This window comes from Homo sapiens, chromosome 4 (genome assembly GCF_000001405.40).
Source record: "Homo sapiens chromosome 4, GRCh38.p14 Primary Assembly".
NCBI lineage: Eukaryota > Metazoa > Chordata > Mammalia > Primates > Hominidae > Homo > Homo sapiens.
Genome location: NC_000004.12, coordinates 76,289,859 through 76,317,330, shown reverse-complemented (window position 1 = coordinate 76,317,330; position 27,472 = coordinate 76,289,859). Strand labels below are relative to the sequence as shown.

Below are 27,472 nucleotides of genomic sequence, written 5' to 3'. Positions count from 1 at the left end.
AGCTACCCCTGTTCGTTTGTGGTATCCATTTGCATGGAATATCTTTTTCCATCCCTTTACCTTAAGTTTATGTGAGTCCTTGTGCATTAGGTGAGTCTCTTGAAGACAGCAGATACTTGGTTGGTAGATTTTTATCCTTTCTGCCATTCCGTATCTTTAAGTGGCACATTTAGGTCATTTACATTCAATGTTAGTATTGAAATACGAGATACTGTTTTGTTCATCCTACTAGTTGGTGCCTGAATTACCTTGGTTTTTTTTTTCATTGTGTTATTGTTTTATAGGCCCTGTGAGATTTATGCTTTAAGATGGTTCAATTTTGGTGTGTTTTGAGGTTTTATTTCAAGATTTAGAATTCCTTTTAGCATTTCTTAGTGATGGTTTGGTACTGGTGAATTCTCTCAGCATTTTTTTTTTTTTTTTTTTTTTTGTCTGCAAAAGACTTTATCTGTCCTTCATTCATGAAGCTTAGTTTTGCTGGATACAAAATTATTGGCTGGCAATTATTTTGTTTGAGGAGGCTAAAAATATGACCCCAGTTCCTTCTGGCTTGTAGGGTTTCTGCTGAGAAATCTGCTGTTAATCTGATAGGTTTTCCTTTATAGCTTACCTGATACTTTTACTTTGCAGCTCTTAAGATTCTTTCCATCATCTTGACATTAGATAACCTGATGACCGTGTGCCTAGGTGGAGATCTTTTTGCAGTGAATTTCACAGGTATTCTTTGAGCTTCTTGTATTTGAATGTCTAGATCACTAGTGAGTCTAGGGAAATTTTCCTCAATTGTTCCCTTAAATAAGTTTTCTAGACTTTTAGATTCATCTTCTTCCTTATGAACACCAATTATTCTTTGGTTTGGCCGTTTAACATAATCCCAGACTTCTTGGAGGCTTTGTTCAATTTTATTAAATTCTTTTTTCTTTGTCTTTGTCTGATTGGGCTAATTTGAAAGCCTTGTCTTCAAGTTCTGAAGGTCTCTCTTCTACTTGTTCTAGTCTATTGTTGACACTTTCCAGTGCATTTTGTATTTCTATAAGTGTGTCTTTCATTTCCAGAAATTGTGATTGTTTTTCTTTATATCTATTTCTCTGGAGAATTTTTCATCCATATTCTGTATTGTTTCTTAGATTTCTTTAAGTTGGTTTTTACCTTTCTCTGGTATCTCCATGAGTAGCTTAATCAACCTTCTGAATTCTTCATCTGGCAATTCAAAGATTTCTTCTTGGTTTAACTGCATTGCTGGCAAGCTAGTGTGGCCTTTTGGGGATGTTATCAAACCTTGTTTTGTCATATTTCCAGAATCGCTTTTCTGATTCCTTCTGATTTGGGTAAACTATTTCAGTGGAAAAGCCCGGAACTCAAGGTTCAGATTCTTTTGTCCCACAGGGTGACCCCTTGATGTGGTGTCCTCCCCCTCCCCCAAGGGATGGGCCTTCCTGAGAGCTGGACTGCAATGATCATTATTGTTCTTGCACATCTAGCCACTCAGTAGGGCTACCAGACTCGGGGCTGGTGCTGGGAAATTTCTGCAAAGAGTGCTGTGATGTGATTCATCTTCACGTCTCCCAGCCGTGGATACCAGCACCTCCTCTGGTAGAGGACGTAGGGGAGTAAAGTACACTCTGTGAGAGTCCTTGGTCATAGATATGTTTAGTGTCCTGGCTTAATCAAATACTGATTATGCTAGCAGTGATATTTTCACATGGACAGACTTAGTACCTCTGGTTAGCCAGAATGTTGCAGGCAGTGGAATTAGCTGCTGTTTTCTTCTTCCTTGGTGCAGGGTTATTCTATCATTTCTATCATGAGTTACTGTAATGTTCGGAGTTGGTTGGCCTCCAGCCAAGGGGTGGCACTTTCAAGACGGCACAAGCTATGATAGTAGACAGGGGAATGTAAGCTTGCCCTAAGTTGGCCAGGATAAGTATTTGGGTTTATCGGGTGATGTGCAGGGCCATCAAGCTCTCAATAGTTTGTGTGTTTTGTGATCAGCTACCAGGGCAGGGAAAAAAATACCATCAGGTTGGGGCAGAGTTAGGTGGGTCTGAGCTCAGACTCTCCTTGTGTAGGGCTTGCCGTGGCCACTGTGGGGTACGCAGGATGGTTCTTGGGCCAGTGGAGTTATGTTCCAGAGGTGATTTTGGCTGCCTCTGTTGCCAAGGAAGTTGGGGAAAGCCTGTGTGATAGGCCTTACCTAGCTCCCACACAGTTGGCAAGGCCAATCTTGCTCCCACCATGCCCTGCTAACAGCGCCAGTGTCTCCAGGCAGCCAGTGCAGGGTGGTGGTTGGGGGTGGCGGGCAGATCAGACCTTGCCCGTGCTATAAACTTCCCCACTGACAAAGCAAGTATGGCTTTCACGTCTCACCTGCCCCTTCCTGTCTGCCCACACTGTCAGTAGTGGCTTCTGTGCTCCTTTCTGTAGCATTTCCCATTCACCACCCAGATTCCGCTCAAAAGAGTTTGTGCCCAGTTGAAATTATTACAGAGTTCAGTTGGAAGCTTCTTTCACCCTGTGACCACTCCCAAATTCTGCCAGCCACCTTTCCCGAGGGCCCCTGTGAGATATAGTCAGGGATGGCTTCCCTGGGCTCGAGCTGGAGAATGGGAATGCCTCCAAGGCTCTTCCCACTGCTCCTTCTACTTTTATATTTTGCGCTAAATTTGTTCCAGCTCTAGGTAAGGTTAAATCCTTCTCCCGTAATCTGGATTTTCAGGTTCCCCAATGGGGGTATTTGTTGAGAGGCAGGATTTCCCCCTCCACACTTTGGGAACTCACAGTTTTTTACCTATCTTGTGGAATTTGCAGTGGCATGCCACTTTTTTCAAAGTATCTGTAAATTCTTTTGGTTTTCCCAGTATGTTCCTGCAGTGGCTCTTGGAGCAAAAGTCAACAGTGTGAGTCTCCACACGTTGCTCTGTCCATCCAAGTTGGAGCTGCACGTTAGCCCTGTCTCCTATCTGCCATCTTCCTCTCCACATCTATTGTGAGTTTTTTGAAGGAAGATGCATTATCTTATTGATCCTATTTTTACTCACACCATGACATATGTTTCTGAATTTATCTGATGTATGCCACCAAATAATAATCCACATGGAAGATATTTACAAAATAAAAAGACCTTTTTGCTGAATGCAGTGTCTGGATGGGACGCCTCTTGAAAATTCTAAAACAAATATTTTTAGGGGGAATTCTGGGAGGACTGTCAAAACTTGAAGTGCATTTACGCTTTGACCCAGAAATTTCACTTCTAGCAATTTATTCTATAAGAAATGATTGTACAAATGCACAGAAGTGTTTATACAAAAGTATTTATTATAGCAAGAAAGAAAGAAAGAAAAAAGGATGTTTAGAAAAAGGATGTAACCTTTTTTAGTCTGTTTACTAAATTCTAATACATTTGTATAATGAAATACTAGTAAATACTATGCAGTTACAACAAAACATAAGCTGAACTGGAAACTTATTGACGTTTTGTTATATGAAAAAGAAGCTACAGAACAGTCTATAGCATATGTTTTCATTTGTGTAAAGAATAAAACATGTGCACATTCATGTATATGTGCAGATATTCACCAAATTGCTTATGGTAATGACCTCTTGGGCGGAGGCAGATTCCAGCAGATTGAGGGAGCAGAGACAAAGACTGACCTTCATCTATCTTTGTGTCCTTCTGAGGTGTTTGAATTATTTACAATTAGTATTACTTTTACAATTATCATGCCCATTTAAAACAACTGAGGCTGGGCACAGTGGCTTATGTCTGTAATCCTGACACTTTGGGAGACCGAGGCAGGAGGATTGCTTGAGGCCAGGAGTCTTAGACCACCCTGGGCAACATAGAGAGACCCTGTCTCTACAAAATAAATAAGTAAATAAAACACCTGAAACACTAAAGATTTACCCTTAGCTCTCTTCCATAACACCAACCTTTTCAAAAATATGCTACATCACAATTTTTAAGAATGTCTTGAGCTCAGAACATGTCTATTCTATACTATCAAGCTGATCTTTTAAGTAGCACATAGTAGAATTAAAGCCTAAGTAGATTTTGTTATTCTAACTGTTTTATCAACATTTTCAGCAATGTCTTCAATGATCAGAAATCAAGAAAAGAGGATACAGAAAGTAAAAGACCAGGAAAAAATGTTACTAAAATGACTCGTTGCTTGCCTATTCTTTACAGAGGAATGAGGCCCAATTAATTGTGGTGTTACTCGTAATTAGTGCCCTGTGTACTTTTTCTTTTTATGTGAAAATTTAATAAAAGATACCCTGTCTTGTAAACTCTATTTTGAAATAAACTATTCTTGAATCCCTCACAGTAAAACTTCAAACATCTACTAGCTAGTATTCATACATTATAACAATTAATACCTATAAAGTATTCATACATAATAAGGTATTATAATTACCTTATAAGGTGATTAATTATAAGATATAATTTGTGCTTATTCTAATATATTGGAATAATTGTGGTTTTTTATTGTTACTGGTCCCAAGACAATAGAATCTATTTTATTTATTTTATTCTACTTAAATTTTAATTTAATTTAAATGTTTTATTCAATCTAATTTAGCTTCAAAAAAAATCTGGGGGAAGAACTACTTTCACATGAAAGTGAAAGACGTGGTGTAATACCAAGGACAGAGGACAAATTTCAGCATACTAACAGGGGCTCATTTTGTGACTGTGAACTCACTGTTCTGTCAATATCAGTGAGGGTAATCAGATAACCTAACATCAGGGCCCCCAGTCAAAACTTTTACAAAAGTTTCCCTTTTTTGCATATTAATAATAGTAAAGAAAATGATTTTGTTACTCTTTAGCAAGTTGGTAACTTCTAGATTATATCTATTCAGTCTGCTTTAATTAAATTTTAATAAATTAGGGAGGTTTATATGTGAACTAAATAAAATGAGAGAAGAACAAATACAAAAATGTATCAGTTGTGTCAAAACATCAGGGACAACGTGGCAGATGGCTAGCTGTCCAAAATAAATCTTATGTTCCTGTTGTATAACCTGGAATTGTCACTGAGAAACAGCTGCCCAGCAAGAGTCTCTATTTCCCAATCCTGCCTCCCCTTGTATATGGGTGTGGCCTGAGGGTTCTCATTAACAGAATGTGGACAGAGCAATATGTGGCACTTTCAGGTCAAAGTGTTAACATGCATGGGTGTTCTTCCTAACTTTATTTTCCCCTCCATGGGCTGGATGCAGAGGACATGAGGGTTATTATAGGGGATGGCAGAGCCACAGGGCAGAAGGGAGTCTGGGTAACTGAATCTCTGCAAGGAGGGGAGCTGCCCTCCTGCCAGGAAGACTCACTGCTGACAGTTACATGAGCAAGAAATCGGCCTCTGGTGCTGCAGCCTTCTTAAATGGATGGTGTCTATTACAGCAGCTAGCAGCAGCCCTAACCTATGCAGACAACAAATGGAGTAGGGCATGCATGCTCTCACCAGAAGATCCTCACGCTTCTGCTCTCAAGGACAATGTTAGAACTGTAAGCACATCCAATTTTAAGTGAATTTTTAAAATATAAAGTGTAATATTTCTCTCTTAGATCAGTTGGCTTTACTGAAAGATTAATTTTAATTTTACCAGGTAGTGATAAAATAGCCAGTAATAGAATTCTAGAGAGACTTTTACTTAAATTGTTTTACCTTTAATTTTCCTCATGGGCATGTTTGGGCATTCCATGCAGTAATGGTGAATGCCTTCTGCAGAGCTTACTGGTACAATATAAAATTCATTATGAAGTCTGTAAACAGTATACATGAATTTAACATAAAAGTGCTATGAGCCAAAAACTGTCAAACATAGTTCTTTTAAGTACTTTCTAATGCTATTTTCAGTTGGGTTTATTCTTTTCAGCAAAGACCATCTGTTTAAAAGGATTAAACATTATTTCACTGATAGATGTTAAACTTATTAAAAGTTATTTTAACATGTAAGAATTCATTTTCAAGTACAGGCGTGCTGAATTTCCCTCCAGTCAAAGGTGAACTTTGAGAATAAATATTGTCAACTTTTTCTCCAAAGGGAGGAGAAAAACAGAATCTTCATGTCTTCTGTACCTTTTGATGTTTGCTTTTCTGTATATGTCTCTTATTAGTGGAGGAAAATATTTGTATTTTATTTTACATCTAGGCTATTGTGATACTAAAATTTAGACAAATAATTCAGACATCAAATGAAGATATTAAAATTCAGGTTTTATTATTTGTTCAGTTATAATAATTTAAGTTAATATTTGCTGTATTCTCAGAGCAAAGATGTATTTCTGTACCACTGTCCTGTATAAATTTGTTACCCAAGATAGTGACTGGTATGAAAGGAGAGGGAAGAGGGTGACAGATGGAAACGATTGCTGTAGGACAGTCCATCTGGCCAGATGCGGTGGGGGAGGGGAGAAGAAGTGGGAGAGAGATGGTCCTACAGATGCTCCCATGGGTAAATGATGGGTGCATCCCTCCCTGCAGTCGGGCTGTGCCTGTACTTCACAGTCCTCTAAGAGGTGTCATTCAGGCCACCTCACTCAGCCTATGCCCAACCCCACTCACTTTCCCTTTCCTTATGGGCTGCCCCCGCAACTGACTTCCATGATGATTGGTTCTCATTAGGCCCTTTGTTTCTACACCAGCCTTAGATCATTAAGACAAAGACGTACTTGCTACCCTCATAGCACATAACAACGCCTGGCAGATGAAAATCAAACAAAAAGCATTAGGCAGTCTTAGAACATTATCTTGTATCCTTACTAATCACATCCAGACCAGATATTTTCTAATCACAGTTTCGTATCATGTTAACTTTTTAAGCATAAAATGTGTATGTAGTAAAAAGTGCTTTTCAAGCTGTACCAATAGGAAGTCAGCTATGTTTGAGTGAGGCTTATTTTACTACCATAGTTTAAAGATCACCTAAAGGCTCAAGCTTGAACCCTGGGCAGCTGGTTAATGTTTTTGCTCCGTGACCACAGTTTACACCTGAAGCTTAGCCAAGTCACTCCCCAAGAGAATCAAGCCCTAAAGTAATAATGGATCAGCACAAGTCTGTCAATCAGTGCCACAGGGAAAAGAAGTTCACATTCACTGGAAGCATTATCTGTGTGTGTGTGCATATATATACACACATACACACATATATATTTCTGCACATTAGACATATATATTTCTGCACATTAGACAAAATCCACTAGCAAATTTAAACAATTCAGATGGCTGAATTTGGAGTCACACTGCCTTTATTTTATTCAGTGTGTTCCACAACCTCAGCCTCTTCCACATTGTTCTACAGCTTCTCCATTACTTTGCAAACTGAATCAGTGAATCCCCCACCATGCGTGAACCACTTTATCCTCATGGCCAGTTTCTAGGAATCTATTGCTGCATTCTTCCCAGCGGGTAACTCCCCCATTCTCTACCAACACAAACTTCCACTCCACCACTGTATCTGCAGGCAGGAAAATGGAATGAGACCAGAACCCATCCTTGTTATAGTGGAGTGGGATGTAAGTGTTCCATCTCCCAAGACACTCATGGTCTCCAGTTACTGCAATGAATTGCACATCAGTGCTTGTGACATAATGGACCTGGAACCTGACACTAACTTGCTGAGACCCTGCAGGCATCACTGCTACCCTTTCCATTTTCCCATGCACTTGCTGACCTCTTGCTTCCACCAAAGTGCTTCTTCCATTGTCCATTCCCTGGTTTAGGTTTAACACTGGAGCCTTAAGACTGCCACCCACACCAACATCCCCCCAAGATGAGTGCCTAGGCACCATTTCCCACTCCTCGTGGTCAACCCGGTCCTGACTGTTCAAATCAGAGAGGCTCATTTCTTCTTTAGCTCTGTTCTTGAGCAGGTTGCTAGAAGGCAACTTCTCTGCAAAACATGTAGCTGCTTTAGCAGATATCTCTTGTCCTTTTTGGAATCCCCATTCTCCCATAGGAGATTCAAGGCTTTCATTTCTTGAAACTTCAGAGTAACTCCTAGAGTTACTGGTCTCAGAGGTAGCTGGAGCTTCTGTGTCTGGAAACTGTCCAGAAGGAACATGTTCTCTTGAATTGTCACAGACTTCCCTGGAAGGATTCTGCAATCTCCATGATGCTGCTTGCAGTTTACCAAGGTCTTTGGTCTTAGAAATCAAATGTCCATTGCTTTCTTGAAGATGCTCTAAGAAATCAAAGGAAAAATGTAATAGAGTCAGGTAGTTCATTTAAGAAAAAAGTCAGGCTGAGAAAATAGATTTAGTTACTGAAAGCTTTACTACTAATCAATCTGCAATTCACAAAGTCCCCCTCTATTAAAATCAAGTACTACTTAATTAACCAGTATGCTCCCAACACTGTGCTCTAAGAATACACATGTATATCTGACAACAAAAGGGACATCCAGGAGTATCAGTGTGCCAGCACAAGTGTAAATGAAGTGGTAAGCTGTAGAGGCAGACGTGTAACCCCCCCATGGTCCCCAGTCTCCACAGTCCAGGCCATACTGGCATGCAGCCAAGTTAAGTTGCTTGGCTCCTATCATCAAAGAATGTTGTCCAGGCTGTGGGGCAAAGGGCTGCGTGGCTACGTTACAAACCAGAAGAGTACACTTGTTCTCCCAGGGGAGGCATGCAGGGCAGGGATTGGCTCTCGCAGACCTGCGGGCAGATCAGCAGGAGCTGTCACCTTGGGGAGATACGGAGAACAGTAGTGCTTCCCTGGGCAGGAGTGGAGGGAGAACTGGGGGAAGGGGCTGGTTTCTCCTTGCCAATCCCATATGCGTTAGGAACCTCCCCAACAAAACGGTGTTTTGTATCCCCTTCCATTGTAAGCATTTTTTAAAAAACGTTCTTAAAAATACAAAATCCAAGTCCTCTAAAAATGCAGTTTCCTTCTTGGCCATGCCATTGGTAGTCCAAATAGCTCCCTACAAGATTGAAATCTCCAAATCATACATACAATCAGCACAGCTGTGGTTTTATGTGGTGTGGGGGTGGTGGTGGTATGGGGACAACAGTCTTGTTTCATTTTATCCCTTTTTTTTTTTTTTTTTTGAGATGGAGTCTCGCTCTGTCACCCAGGCTGGAGTGAGTGCAGTGGTACGATTTCGGTTCACTGCAACCTCTGTCTCCCGGGTTCAAGCGATTCTCCTGCTTTAGCCTCCCAAGTAGCTGGGACTACCGGCGCCTACTACCACGCCCAGCTAATTTTTGTACTTTTAGTAGAGACAGGGTTTCACCATATTGGCCAGGCTGGTCTCGAACTCCTGACCTTGTGATTTGCCCGCCTCGGTGATGGTGGGAGTTGGAAGTGAGAATGAACAAATATTATTCTGGATTCCCAACTTTTCAACCTAAAGCATGAGATTGGTCTTCAGAAAAAAGATAAGTGAACTGTCTAGGCATCCCAGACCAATCACAGTAAAGGCACACGGGCAGATTTTCATATGGCTGCACATGAACACCACTGGGCTAAAAATAAAGTTCACAGATGTCATTTTCACCATTAGGCTTCTGTCCAGGCATGGGCAGCTTGCCAAGGGAGGGCACTGGACGGTAAGCTTTTCTGCCAGTGTTCGCTCTCTGCTTAGCAAACGGTCCCTAAAATACAGAAATTTAAACCCAGATGTCAATTCTACTCATCAGGGTTGGGTCCCCTATTTAAGTAGTCCCTTCCTAGGGATGACTATCCGGCCCTATTCTGGGGCAGCGTGGAGGGGACTGCCGACAGTGCTGAAAGGGGTGACCAAGGCACATCCCCAGGGCCTCAGCCACAGCCTTCATGGCCAGAGTCCAACCTGAACTTTGCCTTCCTAAAGAAGCATCCAGATAGCAGGAGGCGCCCGCAGTTCGGGTGTTCCCAAACCCAGCTCTTCATGGGCTGTGCGATGGGAGGATGTCAGACTACCCGGATTGGGACTTAGAAAATGTCCCTGCTTGGGCAGAGATCGAAGAGGCTTGTAGGATCCCCTAAACCTAAGCCCCCCTTTCCAAAGGCCGGGAAGGGGCGCCGCCACTGCAGCCGCCCGCACTGCACCAAGCGCCGCCAAGTGGAGGAGCTCATCCCCGCCGGAGGGGCAGGACCAAGTCCTCAGGCGCGGGCGCTGAGGGACTCGGCAAGGGCGCGGCCCTTGGAGGACCAGACAAGAAACCTGCCTGCGCGTACCAACCAGCCTGGGAAACCGAGGGGCGTGGGGATGGCCCAGTCCCCTTAGGAGAGCCCGTCCGCAGGAATGGGCCCCTAGGAAAGCTCCAGGTGGGTTTGTCTCTTTGCTCCCTTCCTCGATGAACCTCAAAGCTCTGGCAGATGTGCCCTGGAGTCACGGGGGGAAGAATACCTGGTTTGGTGACCAGCTCCTGCCCGGAAGGTCCAGGGCTCAGTCCGCTGCTGCCACTCTGATGGCCTCCCGGAATCGCAGCTCCCCCAAGAGGGGCGTCTTTCTCCTGCTCCGCATCCCCGTCCTTCCCGGTGTCGCCAGGGCCGCCCCGCAGCAGCCAAACGAAAAGTGCTCCGGCCAGACCCCCTCCAACCAGCAGGGCGGACCAGACGGCGCCCATGGCTGAGAGGCCGCGGCCGCAGGAGACTACAGGGACTGGGACCGGGGCTCAGGTCACGCACACAGAGCCACACCTACCCCGCCCGCTCCAGCCTTTTACGGTTTCTGCGCCGGGCACTCCGGCGGAGCCCGGCCCTGAGCGACCAGTACTCAACTTTCCCAGCCCCGCCCCGCTCCCCGCCCCTGGGCTGCAGCCCCGGGCTCCCTCCCGGGGAAGACTCCAGCGCTCTTCTGTCCCTACACTTTCTGTTCCCGGCCTTGCCAGTTGCCAGCGGCCAGGGGCGCAGGGGTCGGCGTTCCACGTGTGTCCCGCGTGAAGAACCCAAGTGCGCACAACTGCCCCGCGCAGCCGGGACCTGCCCCACCGCCCTTCCTTCTTCCGCCTGCTGCCCGCGAGGCCCAGCCCTGCCTCGGCCCGCACCGGGCACCTCGGCGCCTTCTCCCCAGGGAAGCTCAGCAGCAACGCGGTCAGCTAGAGGCCGAGAGCTTCCTGGAACTTAGAGGTGGGAGAGGCCGCGGGCGTCGGTGACGCGCGGGCTGGAGCGCGGGCTAGAGCGGTGGCGCGTTCGGGTGGGATGGGTGGCCCGGAGGACGGCGGGCGCGGTGCGGGGAAACTGGGAGCCCTAGTGGAAGCTCCGCTCCGCCGCCAGCTCAGCGCGCTTAGCCTCCCCAAGCTTCCGCCTCCTCGCCTGTAAAATGGAAGGACTGGACTGAGGACCATCCATCTAAAGATGCCAGTCAGCTCAATCACATCCAGTCTCGTCCTCTTTGGGCGTGTATGGCTGCTGCGAAATGCGCACGCATCTGTATGAACTGGATGTTGTCCATGGACGAGCTCCTACAGATAAGTTTGTTAATAAAAACAGCAGCTCTTTATTAAGCACTGTCTGTATTCCGGATGTTTTAAGTGTGTATTTAATTTAATCCTCACAAGACAACAACCCTGTGCGGTGTTATATATATTTCTTTGTAAATCCTTTCCTCTGCTGATCTGATGACTTTGCACAACAGCTTCAAGCTGATGATCCCCACGTCTATGTCTGCAGCTCACACCTTTCCCTTGGACTCCGACATTCAACTGCTAAAGGCCACAGATACCAAACACCTGCCTTGGAGTAATTGCTATAATTGCTCTCTCTGGTAGGGCAAATTATCTAATGTGCCCCTTGCTCCGAATGGACAGTAGCCCTTAACGGGGTGCAAGGTTCTGCCAGTGGGGTTACTGGAAGGCTGATGCACGCCTTGATGCAGGCCACAACTTCTGTAATCATAAGAGAGGAGGTAGAGGAGAGGTGAGGGCGAAGACTGCCTACTGGGCATCTCCTCGTGGATGTCTAATAGACATCTCAAACCCAACTCATCCAGACCTGAACTCCCCACCTAACTCCCCAAACCTACTACTCTCCCCACCTTCCCCATCTCAGGAAGTGGCAACCACATCCTTCCCATTGCTGCAAAACAAAACACAGCAAGCTCCCACAGGCCACTTTCAAACCACCAGTCAGCGTGATCCTGTTAAAACACCCCAGTTCTCTGCTCAAGACCCTCCAGTTGCTCCAGATCACACGGAAGAACCTTTAAGACCCTACAGGATCTGTTCCCCATGACCACTGTGCACTCATCTCCATCTTGCCACCTTCAACCACACTGGCTTCCTTGCCTAGAGTCATCCTTCCTGCAGACATCCTCTCTCTCTCATCCCCTTTAGGTCTTGGCACAAGTGTCATCTGCATCCCCACTACCCCCTCCCCTGCCCAGCCCTTCCTTGACAATCCCAGTTTTAATTACAATCCTACTCCCTATATCCTTCCCCTGCTCCATTGTTCTCATTAGCACTTAGGGCGTCATTTCTAATACACTCTATAATCTGTGTGTCTGTGGTTTAATTTCTCTTTCCTCCCTTCAGAGTGTAAATGACAGCGGGGATGGTTGTCCTTTGTTCTCTGCTGAATTCTTAGCACCTGTAACCTCTCCGGAGTGAGCGCTTAGAAGTACAGGTTGAATGAATGAATTAAAAGCCCCAGGTAATTTCACCCTAGAGCATTATTGGCATTTTTCTTACGTAGATTCCATATGCATTTTTAGCCCATGTGGATATTACCGTTCCTTGAAATTCATTTTATGTATAATAAAAAGTAACCGTAAAGCTATATTTTTAAGAGAATGAATGTCACTGTATAAAATAAGATTCTTTCAGCCTGGGCAGCATAGCAAAACCCTGTCTCTATGGAAAAATACAAAAATGAGCTGGGCAAGGCAGTGGCGCCTATAGTCCCAGCTACTCAGGAGGCTGAGGATCACTTAAGCCTGGGAGGTGAAGGCTGCAGTGAGCCATGATCATGCCACTGCACTCCAGCCTGGGTGACAGAGGGAGACTGTCTCAAAAAATCTGATAAAAATATAAGATCCCTTGCATGTGCGGTTCACATAGGGTTTGTGCTCCTATGAGAGTCTAATGCCGCTACTGATCTGATAGGAGGTGCAGCTCAGGCTGTAATGTTCACTTGCCAACCACTCACCTCCTTACTGTGCAGCCTGCTTCCTAACAGGCCTCAGACCAAGGTCTGGGGACTCCTGTCTAAGGGATAAAAATCCCAGAGAATCTGTAAAATCCTTCAGATGTAAGCCCCACTATTCACTTATAATACCTAAAAGGCTCTTAATATTTATTGCTGTCATAAATGTCCATTCATTTATTTAAAATAATACCAAAAATTATTTTCTCAACCCATCAGAATTATTTTTACATTGTATCATATTGATCATGCAACATTTTTTTTAATTTACTTTTTTCTTTGGGAATCCCAAGAAGCTAATGCAACATTTTTAAAGAACATTATTTGGCCTTCCTTTTGGCTTTTCCAAACTTAAGTGCTGGCTCATTAATTTCTGTGTTGCTGCTCTTTTAAAAAATGCTCCAATCATAGTCATATGTTTATATTAAAGGTTCATAGCCACATATCCTAAAAACATTCTTGCCGCACTGATGATACCCATGCTTATCGCTATACACTTGCAAAACAATCATGTTTGCCTCCATATAGAAAACTGTGAGTGCCTAGGAAGATAGTGTTGTCAGGGAGCAAAAAAGGCAAGAACGGTTGTGCGGACAAAGGAGGAAGATGATGAGTTCTGCTGGGACGTGTTAAATTGGAGGCACGAGCAGGAAGTTGGAACTCGGTTTCTTTAGTTTAAGAGGATCAAGGCTGGAGATGTTGGAAATTCTGCATAGAGATGTGGTAATTAAATCCATAGTAAAGATTAATGTTATAAAGAGAAATGAAGGATGGATGAGCCCTTGACACAATTGCAAGAAGAAAGATTGGGAAGTTGCCTCCATGTTGCTATTTATATTGCAATTCTGTCTTGAGATTATATTTTATGGGCCATAATGTAGAACCCGTTTTCTAATTGATATTATTCTATTTAATAAAGTATGAATAGATATAGATGGATATTTTAAAGTTTATTTTATTATATATTTTTTCCTTTAAACTTATGCAAGAAAAGATTGCTCAATCCTGGCTTAGAGGGATGAGGACAGAACAATGAAAAGCAACTCTGTTTGCAAAGTCAGAGAGACTAAAGACTGTGGGAAGGAAGAGCCAGAGAAGAAGGAGAACCAAAATCAGATAAGAAAAGCAGTTCAAGAAGGTGGCCAGGAGAGGGAATGGAGGCATTGCTTTGCAGAACTGAAGTTGATAGAGAACTGAAGGGAAAATGGTTGCAATTGGCACATAAGAGGCCATCAGTAGCTCTGGAGTGTTTGTGGGGGTGGAAGTTGGATTTCAGAATGCTAAGATATAAATGTTGTGAAAGGATAAGAAGTCCAGCATTGAGTTATCTCTCTCTTGAGAAACGTGGAGGCAATAGGTTGGAGAGAAATTGAAGGGTTGCTTAAGAATAGAACAGGATACCCAGCACTTTGGGAGGCCGAGGTGGGAGGATCTCTTGAGGACAGGAGTTCGAGACCAACCTGGGCAACACAGGGAGACCCCCCCCCCCCACCTTCCACCAACCCCCCCCCCCCAAAAAGAAAAAGAAAAGAAATAGACCAGGACTCAGGGCAGTTCCTATAAACCAAGAGAGATTTAAGCACGATTGGGAGCAGGAAAGAGCCAGTGGAGACTGAGCTTGAAGACATGAGAAGCAGAGGAAATATTTTTTCATTGGACTTTCATAAGGCACAAGAGGGAGATGGGTCAGGAATGCCAGTGGAAGAATTGGCCTTCAATGAAGGAAAGAGATTAGAAGGGCATGAAAAAAAGAAAAGAATGAAAATAAGAGACATTTTGTGCCACAAAGGAAGTAGTCAATGAGGTTATCAGCTGAGTGGGAGAAAGAAAATCTGGCTGGAGTTTTAAGAAAAGCAGAGAAAGTAGATAATGACCACTGGGAGAAGACATGGCCAGTAGAAGAGGTGTCTCTGCATAGTCCTGTTGCCTCTCCACAGTGGGGTATAATAAGAAAGAGATTTGGTCTTGTCCTTTTGTTGCTGGCACAGAGAGCGTAGAACCCTTGGGATTTGTTATTCCTAATGGGATCCTTTCGATCACACCAGGTTTTCTCTTATGGTATCAGTATCTTTGAGGTTTGTCTCATCCCTAGTTTAGATCATAAATCCCTTGCTGGTCACAGCTTGGACATCTTTCTATTCCCTGGAATGTCAAGGCTATCATCTAATAGGCCTTCTTTTTATTGTTTTTGTTTATTGAATAACTAAAATATGCAGGCACCAGGCTAAGTGCTTTATAAAGATTATCTCATCCTTATAAATGGAATGCTTGGAGGGAAGTAATCTGGTCAAGGTCATACAGTTAATGAGTGACTGAGCTAGGATTTGAACCCGGTGTTCTGATCCCCAGGACCTGCTCTGAAACCCTAGCTACACTGAAGTCTGATGATTCTTAAACTATGTTCAAATTTCAAAGCATAGATTTTAGAAGTGAGTGTGCAAATTTGGATGTGTTATACTAGAGAACCCTTATGGTTGTGTTTCAGTGTTTGTGGTGACTCTCAGACTTGTTCTTGATCTGTAATAACTCTGCAACCCCTCTCTCCATTAGGGGAATGCACTTATCACCCTCAGCACCTGTCCATTGCTGTCAGACCTCTGGCTCCTGGGGAGCCACATAACATTAACCACAAGTACAACCTCTCTGCAAAGCAGTCACATTGGAGCTGCCCAGTTTCAGGTTTCACAGAGACATTTTCTAACTGAAACTGTTTGCAAACCTCTGACTCATCTTAGTTCCAGAATAGACTCAAGGCTGACATCAGTCATGCTAAGTCATTAAAACTTTAGAAAAGGGAGATCTGTGTTAGACAACTAGCTCACTATCTACAGAAAAATAAAGCTGGATTACTACTTTGTACCACATAAATGCTGAACTCCAGATGAAATAAAGTCCTAAATGTAAATGGTAAAACTATGAATAGAACAAAATCCAGGAAACTGGCAATGTGACATTGCCTAACATAGGAGGCCAAAAACATTTTGACTTCATTAAAATGATGCTATCTGGTCAATGAAGGGTGCCATAAACAGTTACCAGATAGAGCCAAACTGGGGGAAGATATTTGTGTTGTCTAAAACTGATAAGAGATTAATACCTAGCTCTACAATGAACTCGTACAAATTGGCAAGAAAAAGACGCAAGATCCAATATAAAAATGGACGAGGGACGCTCTTTCCTCAGTGCCCAGAACAATGACTGGAACATAATAGGCACAATAATTTTTGGCTGAATAAAATTAGACACAAAAAATGCTTAAACTCATTGATAGTCAGAAAAATGCAAATTAAAACAATGATATGCCATTTTACATCCATCAGAGAGACAAATATTAGAAAGAAGTTGTGTGGTGCTGCTGTTGGGAGAGCCAACAGGTACAAACACTCTGGAAGAGTGTTGTGAAGCTAAGTATGCACATAGCCAATGGCTGTGCAATCCCACTCCTCAACATGTAGGCCCAGGGAAAAATGTGCACAAGACTATAAGGGACATACAGTGTTACTTGGGCCAACGGCAAGTTCAAAGCCCCTGGCTGTTCATCATAGGGTAATAACTAAATAAAATGCGATAGATGCCTATGAAATACTATGCGGTAGTTAGAACAATGAACAAGATCTAGACATAATGTAATTAAATCTTAAATACATAATGGTGACTAGAAAGGCAAGAAACAATGACTTACAGTACAATAATATTTATGCAAGTTGAAAATACATAAACACTCAAAATAGCACTACTGAGGCTTCAAAGATACATGCATATTTAGGAACAATTCTTAACACATTAAAGGAAGTGGTTTGGTGGGCAAAAGTATAGGAATAGGAGTTGGGATAAAAGGAGAATGAATAAATAAACAAAGAGGTCCAGGGTGGGGTCTGGATTCTGCTTTCCTAACAAGCTGCCAGTTGATACTGGTCTGTTGGCCTCACTGTAAGTAGCAAAGAGACTAAGGAGTAAGGTGAACTCAAACCTTGCAGGCTTAAAGAGGAAGTGAGGAAGAATGGAGGGAAATATGAGGGAGGAAGGAAGAGGAGAACAGGCAAGTTTTGAAGGGTGGAGTCAGGGAGAGTCCAGGGCAGGGGCAGCGGGCCCGGCACACAGAAAAGGGAAGAGCCCATGGGTGCCATTGGCAATCTCTGCTTCCTCCAGTCAGACCTGCCGGACCACGCCATGCACTCCAGCTCCTCACACAATTAGATACAATTCAAATAATTGTAATCATGAGTGAAAGACTCCCAATTCCCACCAGGTGCACACTGTTACTAGAGAGAATGTAAGCCAAATTTCTCCTCAGAGAGATCCTCCCCAACCAAAGTTGGCCCTTGCCCTCACTTCCGCAGGCCTGCCCCCTGCTGTTCTCCATCCCTGCACCCCATTAATTGCCCATGTCACTCTCCATATTATCTTCTTTGATTAAAGGTGTGTTTCCCTCACTGGATTGTAAGCTCACAAGGGCAGGGAATTTATAGTTTTCTCCCAGTGACCTATAGGGTGCCTAGTGTCCTACACGGTAGAGGCTCAAAATATGTATTTATTGAGTGAATGAATAAATGAATATCAAGAATGGTCAAGCACTAGCATGTACCACCAAAATATAGGCTGTAAATGTCCAAGAGATTTTTTTAAAAGCATTGACAGTTATCTTCTTGGGAGAGAATGAGGTAGATTAGACCAGGACAGATCTAGCAAAGCCACCATGAGGGCAAAGTTTGGGGTGTCCCTTTATCTCGTTTCTTGTCTTCTTCCTCTTTTTGGTATTATTCTTTTTTTTTTTTTTTTTGTGAGACAAAGTCTCACTCTGTTGCCCACACTGGAGTGCGGTTGGCACAATCTCGGCTCACTGCAACCTCCGCCTTCTGGGTTCAAGTGATTCTCCTGCTTCAGCCTCCTGAGTAGCTGGGATTACAGGCATGTGCCACCACACCTGGCTAATTTTTGTATTTTTAGTAGAGACGGGGTTTCACCATGTTGGTCAGGCTGGTCTCAAACTCCTGACCTTGTGACCCGCCCGCCTCAGCCTCCCAAAGTGCTGGGATTACAGGTGTGAGCCACTGCACCTGGCCTCAGTATTATTCTTTAACTGCTTTCTGATTCCACCCATCCACCCAACCACGGAACTGTAAATATTGTTATCTGTGAACATTTGTCAAAAAGAAAGTTGATGTGTCACCAGTACCTTACAGTGAACTTGTTTGATATTTTAAAATCAGTTTAGAGGGAGGACAAACTAAAATAATGCATTTTTTTATTGATATGTCATATTTGTACATTTTTATGGGGTACATGTGGTATTTGTTACATGCACAGAATGTGTAATGATCAAGTCAGGGTATTTAGAGTATCCATCATTCTATGTGTTGGGAACATTTCAAGTCCTCTCTTCTAGGTATTTTGAAATATATAGTACTTTGTTACTCTGGCGTCAAATATTACAATTAATTCCTTCTATCTAACTGTCTGTATTAACCAACCAACCTCTCTCTTTATTCCTCCCCCACCCCCTACACACCCTTCCCTGCCTCTGGTAACTATCATTTTGCCCTCTACCTCCACGAGGTCAACTTTTTTAGCTCCCAGATATGAATGAGAACATGCAATATTTGTCTTCCTGTGCTTGGCTTATTTCACGTAATATAATATCCTCCAGTTTCATCTATGTTGTTGCAAATGACAAGATTTCATTCTATAGCCAACTTAGATTTCATTATGTATTTGTAAACTATTCATCCAACAAGGGACAAATATCCAAAATATACAAGTAACTCAACAGCAAAAGAACTAATAATCCCATTAAAAAGTGGGCAAATAATGCATTTCTAATGTAAGAATTTTATACCCTGCACACCTACCTTGGAGGGTGATGGGGGAAAGCAGGGCTTCCCCACCTCTTCTAACCAGAATGTGTAATACTGCCTATTCTGCCCACAGTGAAAGCAGGCCCTGTGAGCACACCATTGCTCATGCCCCAGGAGAAAATTGAGCTAAGTCACAAAGAAATGCAATAGACCAAATTCATTTTTAAATGTTCATTTTTAAAAATGTTCACCAATGATAAAAATAAATTCAAATATAAACAATATATTTTAATAGGGAAAAAATTCAACCTTTTTGGAGGCAACTTAGCACTCTATATCCAAAAACCTTAAAGAACAAGACAGAATAAACAACTATGTGAGTGTGTGTGTGTGTGTGTGTGTGTGTGTGTGTGTGTAGCTGCATGTACATATATCCTTTGACATAGCAATTCAACTTCTGGGAATTTTGGGTGAGTAGAGGCCAGAGGTGATACTAAATATTCTACAAAGCACAGAACAGTCCCTCACAACAAAGAATAATAAGAAAAATTCGATCCAAAACATCAATATTGCCTGGGCTGAGAAAATCTGCACCAGAGCATGTGATCTCAGGGAAAGCAAAGAGGGAACACAATGCCTTTTACAGTCTAGTTTTGGAATCACACATCGCTACTTCTGCTACATTCTATTCTTTAGAAATAAGCCACTAAGCACAGCCCACACTCAAGAAAAGCAGAATCAAGCTTCATCTTTTGAAGGAAAGAGTATCACAGAATTTGTGAACATATTTTAAGACAAGACCAATCTGTCCTCTAGCCACAAATTACTTACATTCTTTTCATATGTAAAATATACTTACCCCCACAGCCCCACCCTTACAAAATCCTCCCATAACCCCTTTACAGCATCAGTTTGGAATCCAGAATGTTAGAATCTGAATCAGGCCCAGGTACAGATGAAACTGCTTAGATGTACTTCCTAAGTACAATTATTCTAATGCATTTCCTTTCAATCTGAAGACAGAAAGGTATATGCCTATCCCTCCCACCCCCACCCTCTGTAACATCACCCAACATATAATAGTAGAACAGACACAATATAATCACCATATACAATCATATTCCAAAAATAGGAGAAAAATAGAGGCATACAGGAGTCACTGCTCCATGGCAATTCTGTAAAGCAGCCAAGGAAATTGTAGAAGGTCCTCAATTAGAACTTTGTTCAACTAGGAATAATTCTGCATGGCCTTTGTTTCCACTTTCTTGGTTATGTCCTCTGAGTCATCTGTTCTATAATGGAAGCACATATGTGTAGCTGAGAAGTTCTCTCAGTCTGCTTTCTGCCAGTAGAACTATGGAGATCCAGAGGCCTCTTTTCATTTCATACTGTCTTTGTCCCTTTTAGTCCAAGCTGGCAGTTTTTATTCCAATACAATTCTTTGAAAAACTTTACAGATTTCCTGTGACTCTTATTGGGTCCATGCCATTTTTCAAAAGCCAAATCTACAAATCAATTCAAGATAAGCCCTTCTCTACCATGGGCTTCTGGTGAAGAACAACATCTTCAGCTTCTTAGAAGCTTTATTTGTTTGATCAAAAGAAACTGTAGCACACCTAAGAAAATTTTAGGGAGCCTTTTGTCTAGTTGAACAGTACGCTGAGGCAACACCTTTTATCTTTCTGAGGTCTTAACAAAGGATTTAACAGTTACATCCTTACATCCTTGGAGTCTTCTTTAGACCATGTTTTCCTGGCAATGTCCTGGATTTTGTCTTTGCCCCATATCATTCCTTAATTTAAACATTATCTGCTATCCAAGAGGCTAGACATTTCGAAACCATAAAATCCTGGTTCCTCTTTTTAAGCTGTCCTGCTTTAGCTTATCTATTTCTTCTTGCATTTTGCTGTAAGCAGCAAATGAAAACCAGGCAGTATCTTCAACATTCTGTATGAAAATCTCCTTCGTTAGATCATCCAGCTCATCAGCTGCCTTTTCTACATTCCATGTGGGCTAAACTTTTTGCTATTTCATAACAAGGAGACTGTTTCTCCCACTTTCCAATAACATTACCTCATTTTCCTACAAGCTGTCACCTCCTCAAAGGCTTCTACTAACAGTGTTTTTAAGGCCCTTGAAGCTTTTACTAACAGTCTTCTCAAAATTTTCCAGCTTCCACCCCACTACCCAGTTCTTCTCCCTCCCACACTTTAGGTTCTTGTTATAGCAGCACTCCACTTCCAGGTAACAAAATCTATATTAGTTACCTATTACTGCTTAACAAATAAATCTTAAGCTTAATGGCTTAAAACAACAAACATTATAGTGGTTTTTGTGATTCAAGAATTCAAGAGCAACTTTGTGGTTCTGGCTCAGGACCTCCCGTAAGACTACAGTCAGGATGTCAGCAGGGGTTGCAGTCTCATCTGAAGACTTACTAGGGACTGGAGGATCCACTTCCTAGATGGCTTGCCCCATGGCTGCTAGAAGAAGGCTTTAGTTCCTTGCTATGTGGGCCTCTCCATAGACAACTTTAGTGTCCTCACAACATGGCAGCTAGACACTCCCAGAGCAGATGATCCAAGTGAGAACAAGAAGGAAGCCACAATTTCACCTGATGTGATTGGGACTCAGAAATCAGGCATCATCACCTTTCCCACATTGTCTTCATTAGAAGCAAGTCGCTAAGTACAGCCCACTAACTACAGTCACTAACTACACTTGAGTGGAGGGAATTAGACACCACATTTTGAAAAAGTATCAAATAATTTGTGGACTTTTTTTTTTTTTTTTGAAACAGAGTCTTGCTCTGTCGCCCAGGCTGGAGTGCAGTGGTGTTATCTCGGCTCACTGCAAGCTCTGCCTCCTGGGTTCAGGACATTCTCCTGCCTCAGCCTCCCGAGTAGCTGGGACTACAGTTGCCTGCCACCATGCCCAGCTAATTTTTTGTATTTTTTAGTAGAGATGGAGTTTCACCGTGTTAGCCAGGATGGTCTTGATCGCCTGACCTCATGATCCACCCGCCTTTGGCACACCAAAGTGCTGGGATTACAGGTGTGAGCCACCAGCCTGGCCAATTTGTGGACATATTTTAAAACAAACACAAATCCCCAAATCAGGGGCTCTTTGGAATTTTCTAAAGAAATATGTCTTGAAACTGTTGAACTGGGAGAGAGAGAGATAATTGACTGTTTAGTTTGCTAAGTTAAGACATCATTTGAATTCACAGGTTTTTAGGATACCTTATGTGAAGCTAGAACATTGTTTGGAAAAAGTGAGACCCTGAATCCTGAAATGGGAACATATGGGAAGATACGGTGGGCTCCAAGTACCCTAAACTCCCAACCCTATGAAAATATGCTACTCAGATCATCTGCTGCAGAGAGCATCATTGGCTGGTGGACCAAATTGCTGCCTCCCTGGATCCTCCACCCTCACACTGAGGCCATGCTTCTCATGGGCTACCCCTAACCAATGACTGAGCATGCCAGAAGCACCAAGGTAGTCCCATTCTGGCAAGAAGTGAAACTCCTCCTCTAGGCAACTTCAACTTGAGGACTTCCTGCTGGACTGGCGAAACCTTTATTTGAATTGTGCTACAGTCCAAGATTCTTCTTACACCAATCTTCTTTCCTTCCCTTATTCCTTCCACAGATATCAGACAGGCATCACAGTCTAAAGCTCTCTCTATCTTTTCCCATTCCTTCCTTCAGTAAAGCTCAAGAACATCTATTCCCATCTTGCCATTGCTTCTTGGCACACCTGAATTAATGCAGCCTTCCTCGTCAGAGAAAATCTCCCTTCATGATGAGGCTTTTTCCATCTTTCATGAAGACTCTGTAATGTTATTCTTTGTGGGAGTAACCTTACTGGAGGTAGGGGAAAACAATTCTCTTCATTCTTTGCTCCTAACATCCCTCATTGCCTTGAATTCTATAGTCAATAAGGTGCTAGAGACAGGTTGTACCAACTCACAAAGGTCAACTGACAAATTTTCAAGAATTTAGTGAGCTGATTGCTAAACACAACCATTATTAAAACAAATTATATATACTTACAGTTAAATAAATGATGTGAAAAACAAAGATAATTACAAACTCATCACTTCCTAGTTGACAGCTTTTTATTATTATCTATGCTGCTCAGATTATTTATATGTATTATAACTGGGTGTTGGAAATACTCTATAATGGTGTGTCTTTGAATTTTGGAGACCAGATTTAGACATGCTGTTTCAGCTAGTTTTTTTAATAATCTGAGAGGTTGCCAATTTTGAGTGCAGCCTGAAGCAAGAGTATGCTTTCTCACTGGTCCAGGAAGCTCTGTCTTCTGATCCAGTGGATCCAATGTTATTGAAATGCCTGTGGCAGACAGGGCTGCTGAATGGAGCTTTGGAACATCCAGCACAGGCTCTGAGAGTTTTGCAGCCAAGCCACGGATTCTGTGGCATGTAACTTTTCTCCTTTTGAGAAACAGATTTTGGCTTGTTGCTGAGCACTGGTAAATACAGCAGCCTAATCTCATGGCTAGCACTCATCATAAGCTGGGGACTATCTGATTCACCACGCCATAAAGTCAGCTAACATTTAGTGTGTGTGCACAGTGTGCCAAGCTCTGCTCTAAGTACTTTACTTGCAACATTTCCTTTAATCCTCACCACATTTCTGGGAAATAGTACTGTTATTGTAATCATCCCTATTTTAGATGAGAAAATTGAAGCAGAGAGAGGATAAAAGCAATTTGACCATAGTCATATATCTAATAAGTGGCAGGACTTGGTTAGAACACAGGCCCCCTGGCTTCAAAGTACACATATTAAATTACCAAATTGTATTGCTTCTTATGATCAAGTGAAAGTTTCCTACATAAGATTGGGCTTGAGCAGAAATTGAAGACACAACAAATTGCATGGTGTTCCCACTCCTACCACATTACCATTTTTTCCTCAGCCTACACCTCTGACTTCATGGTATGTTCTCTAAGTCCAACTGACTAGACAGCAACCAGCACAATATGACAGCACCAGCCACAAGTAGACTACAGCAACATTATAGGCCAACTTGAGGGTGACCCTGAAGATCAACAAAGAGGAATCTTCCAGAAGGCAGAATTTTAAGCATTTTATCTTGCTGACCACTTTGTCTGAAAGGAGAAATGGTATGAGGCACAGATATCACCAGTTAATGGTCATTAGCTGACGGTGTAGCTCAGCAGCCAAGACATGGAAGGATCAAGAATGCAAGTCTGGTGACAAAGATGTTCAGAGGAAGAGGTATCTATGGGATCTCTGAGAATGAATCCAGAGTATGAGGATATTTGGTTCTTTGTGAATGCCACCCAAAGGCCCCCACTGGAGAGGAAGTGCTCAATAGTCAAGAGAAGAGGTTGACCTGGCTCCTGCATGCCAACTCTCTCCTTTCTGCAGGCACTCCAGTGTTGCCCAATGAGCGAAGTAGGCATAGTAGCAGAATCACAGGCTACACGGGGGTTTAGCAACTTGGATTTCCCTCATCAAACCTGATCTGGCCACTGCTTCTGTTAAATATTTATTTGTCCAGGAAATAAAACTAAAGTCCCTGATGTGAATTAGGTTTGAATGGAACAAAGCCAGGAACAATGTGCCTGGGGAAAGAAGTGGATTCCCTCCAGACTACCACTTCCCGTAGCCTCTGCTGCTCAGCACCTGAAAGCCAGACTGGCTTGCAGAGGATCAGCTCTCCCCTTGGTGCTCCCTTGGACTTCCAAACATGTGGGCACTTTAATGAGTTGAAACATTAAGAGAGTTTGGGAAATGCAGCCATTAGTTTTCCAGCCTCTACAGTAGGAAGGCAAGCTAGAAGGAGGTCATAATGGTCGTTGAATGAGTGGGTTCAAAGAATGTCCCAGACCTCTTCCATTATCATGAAAGGGGCAGTAATTTATCTTTACTGGAATAGTAACTTATTCTGGATTGGGATTTGCTGACCCTGCCTAACAAATTTCTGCCCACACCAACATTCATTATTTATTCTGCACCAGCAACCAATATATGCTGTTTTTCCCATATTCAGCATACATGGGTGTAGCATCAGGAGGAGCACCTCCTTCAGAACCACTTGCAAAACTGTTACTTCTTAGCCCCATGAACTGGGCTCTGGTGATTTAAAAGCTTGAGACAAGGTGTCTATCAGTAGAAAAAAAATAATAGTTCCATTGAATTAGAATCTGAGACTGCCACCTGGTCATTGTATGGACTCTTCATGATCCCTGAAGAACAAGAAAAGGAGAGAACTATATGAATCATCAACAGCAAGTGAAAACTGATTGACAGTAGAGTCATGGAAATCAAAGGACCCCTTGGAGTTCTACCTAGTGTTGTCATGTCTACTAATAAAAATGTCCTGGCTGGTCAGGACCAGCAAGACTCAGGCGCTTTGTGAATAAAGGTTTAGGTCACTCTCTTAAATATTTTGTAACAGTTAAGGGACTAGCCAAAGGTGAAAAGAATGTGAAATGGGAAGTGGAGAAGGGAAATTATATATAGGAACTATGGCCTCTTGACCAGTTGTAGAAATGAACACTGTTGCATCTATCTGCATTTTCTTCCATGTCATGTATATGCCATTTTTTTAAGTTTCTTCCTCTTGTCTCTTTCTCCACAAAGGGTGTGTTATTGGTGATCAAATTTACTATGTAGTCAGTTCAGCATACAGATTACTGAGATGAGGTCATCACAGACCCAGAGGATGAAATGCCAGCCCCCAGGGATTTTGTATTTGAAGGCAAATGCAGTAATGGATACAACTTTGAACTCATCACTTTTGAGAACATGATTGTGTCCTCTTCTGCAGGAGGGATGGTTGTATTAATTAGAAAAAAGGTTTTTTTGTTTGTTTGTTTCTTATGCTTTTTTCTTTATGAAAAAAGTAGATATTGATATTGGGCATTCAAGAGGCTAGTCATCTGAACTCCATATTCTAAGAGGCACCTGAACCCCCTGACCTATGGGGGCAGAGTCCCCTTACACTGTAGGAGCTAGAAATGCCATATACTACTTTTCTTTGCCTACTTCACTCATAGGCATGGATCTGGCTCCGCCAGTCAAGTGCCTCATCAGAGACCCTGAGATGAGTAGGCAGAACCCACACTGGGCATGGATGCTGCTGCTGGGTAAGGTGCTGGCACTGGTGTTGCATCTATGTTCAAAGACAGCAGTGGAGGTGGCCCTGGGGGTAACTCCAGCATCCGATGATGGTGACTTCTGTGCTGGTTGCCATGTCTACGCCAAGGGCATCAATAGAGATGTGTTCACCAGCTCAGTTTTGAGGCATGAATTCGGGTATTGTTCCTGGGAGGGCAGACTCAAATCCGAGCCTCTGTCCATAAAGATATTCTGTGGATCAAGATGAAAAGCAGAGGATCTCGGAAGATGAATAGGAACAGCTCCTATCTGCAGCTACCAGCAAGAACAACGCAGAAGGCGGGTGATTTCTGCATTTCCAACTGAGGTACCCTGTTCGTGTCATTGGGACTAGTTAGGCAGTGGGTGTGGCCCATGGAGGGTGAGCAGAAGTAGGGTGAGGCCTTGCCTCACCCGGGAAGTGCAAGGGGTTGGAGACCTCCCTCCCCAAGCCAAGGGAAGCCATGAGGGACTGTGCTATCTGGCCCAGATACTACGCTTCTCCCACAGTTTTTGTAATCTGCAGACCAGGGGATTCCCTTGTGTGCCTACAACACCTGGACCCTGGGTTTCAAGCACAAAACTGGCCAGCTGTTTGGGCAGACACCAAGCTAGCTGCAGGACTTTTTTTTTCGTACCCCAGTGAGGCAGAACTGTTCACTCTCCTGGAAAGAGGACTGAAGCCAGGGAGCCAAGTGGTCTCGCTCAGCAGGTCCCACTCCTATGGAGCCCAGCAAGCTAAGAACCACTGGCTTAAAATTCTCGCTGCCAGCACAGCAGTCTGAAGTCAACCTGGGACACTCAAGCTTGGTGGGGGTAGGGGCGTCCACCATTACTGAGGCTTGAGTAGGTGGCTTTTCCCCTGACCATGCTAAGGACTGGGTAGAACCAAACAAAGCAAAGCAAAGTGACTGTGGCCAGACTCCCTCACTAGATTCCTCTTCACTGGGCAGGGCATCTCTGAAAGAAAGACAGCAGCCCCAGTCAGGGGCTTATAAATAAAACTCCCATCTCCCTGGGACAGAGCACCTGGGGGAAGGGGCAGCTGTGGGCGAGCTTCAGCGGACTTAAATGTTCCTGCCTGCCTGCCTGCTATGAAGACAGCAGTGGATCCTGACAAGGAGGATTCTCCCAGCACGGCACTCAAGCTCTGCTAAGGGACAGACTGCCTCCTCAAGTGGGTCCCTGATCCCTGTGCCTCATGACTGGGAGAAAATTCCCAACGAGGGTTAACAGGCACCTCATACAGGAGAGCTCTGGCTGGCATCAGGCTGGGGCCCCTCCAGGATGAAGCTTCCAGAAGAAGGAGCAGGCAGCAATCTTTGCTGTTCTGCAGTCTCCACTGGTGATACCCAGGCAAATAGGGTCTGGAGTGGACCTCCAGCAAACTCCAGCAGACCTGCAGCAGAGGGACCTGACTGTTAGAAGAAAAACTAACAAAC

At 43.4% G+C, this 27,472-nt stretch overlaps 3 protein-coding genes across 15 annotated transcripts in view, besides 2 other annotated features; 1 reads left to right on the top strand and 2 right to left on the bottom strand.

Moving 5' to 3' along the window:
• CCDC158 (coiled-coil domain containing 158) overlaps nt 1-4,292 on the top strand; it is a 108,831-nt gene extending 104,539 nt beyond the window's left edge. For all 13 annotated transcript variants that reach the window (XM_011531911.2, XM_011531917.2, XM_011531909.3 and 10 more), the window contains one exon: nt 4,085-4,292. In XM_011531911.2, the coding sequence (XP_011530213.1) occupies nt 4,085-4,161 (77 nt within the window). In that variant the 3' untranslated portion in view covers nt 4,162-4,292. The remainder of the gene's footprint in view (nt 1-4,084) is intronic.
• Nucleotides 4,293-6,200: 1,908 nt separating this feature from the next.
• On the bottom strand, nt 6,201-10,598 carry STBD1 (starch binding domain 1). Its single transcript, NM_003943.5, has 2 exons — nt 10,342-10,598; nt 6,201-8,187 (listed from the first exon to the last, which is right to left on the bottom strand). The coding sequence occupies exons 1-2, from the start codon at nt 10,559-10,561 to the stop codon at nt 7,331-7,333; spliced, it is 1,077 nt and encodes a 358-aa protein (NP_003934.1). The 5' UTR covers nt 10,562-10,598; the 3' UTR covers nt 6,201-7,330.
• Nucleotides 6,201-27,472, bottom strand: part of FAM47E-STBD1 (FAM47E-STBD1 readthrough) — a 59,410-nt gene continuing 38,138 nt past the window's right edge. The window contains exon 7 of the mRNA NM_001242939.2: nt 6,201-8,187. Coding sequence (NP_001229868.1) covers nt 8,158-8,187 — 30 coding nt within the window. The 3' untranslated portion in view covers nt 6,201-8,157. The remainder of the gene's footprint in view (nt 8,188-27,472) is intronic.
• Nucleotides 15,777-15,921: an enhancer, noted in NCBI's record as "145 bp enhancer 290 fragment used in the MPRA reporter construct; PK_construct_3861". NCBI's record gives its function as "activates an SV40 promoter by MPRA in HepG2 cells {active_cell/tissue: HepG2}" and the evidence as "EXISTENCE:reporter gene assay evidence [ECO:0000049][PMID:23512712]".
• Nucleotides 15,844-15,854: a transcriptional cis regulatory region, noted in NCBI's record as "NFE2L2 motif; enhancer activity is reduced when this motif is scrambled". NCBI's record gives its function as "necessary for full MPRA enhancer 290 activity {active_cell/tissue: HepG2}" and the evidence as "EXISTENCE:site-directed mutagenesis evidence [ECO:0005528][PMID:23512712]".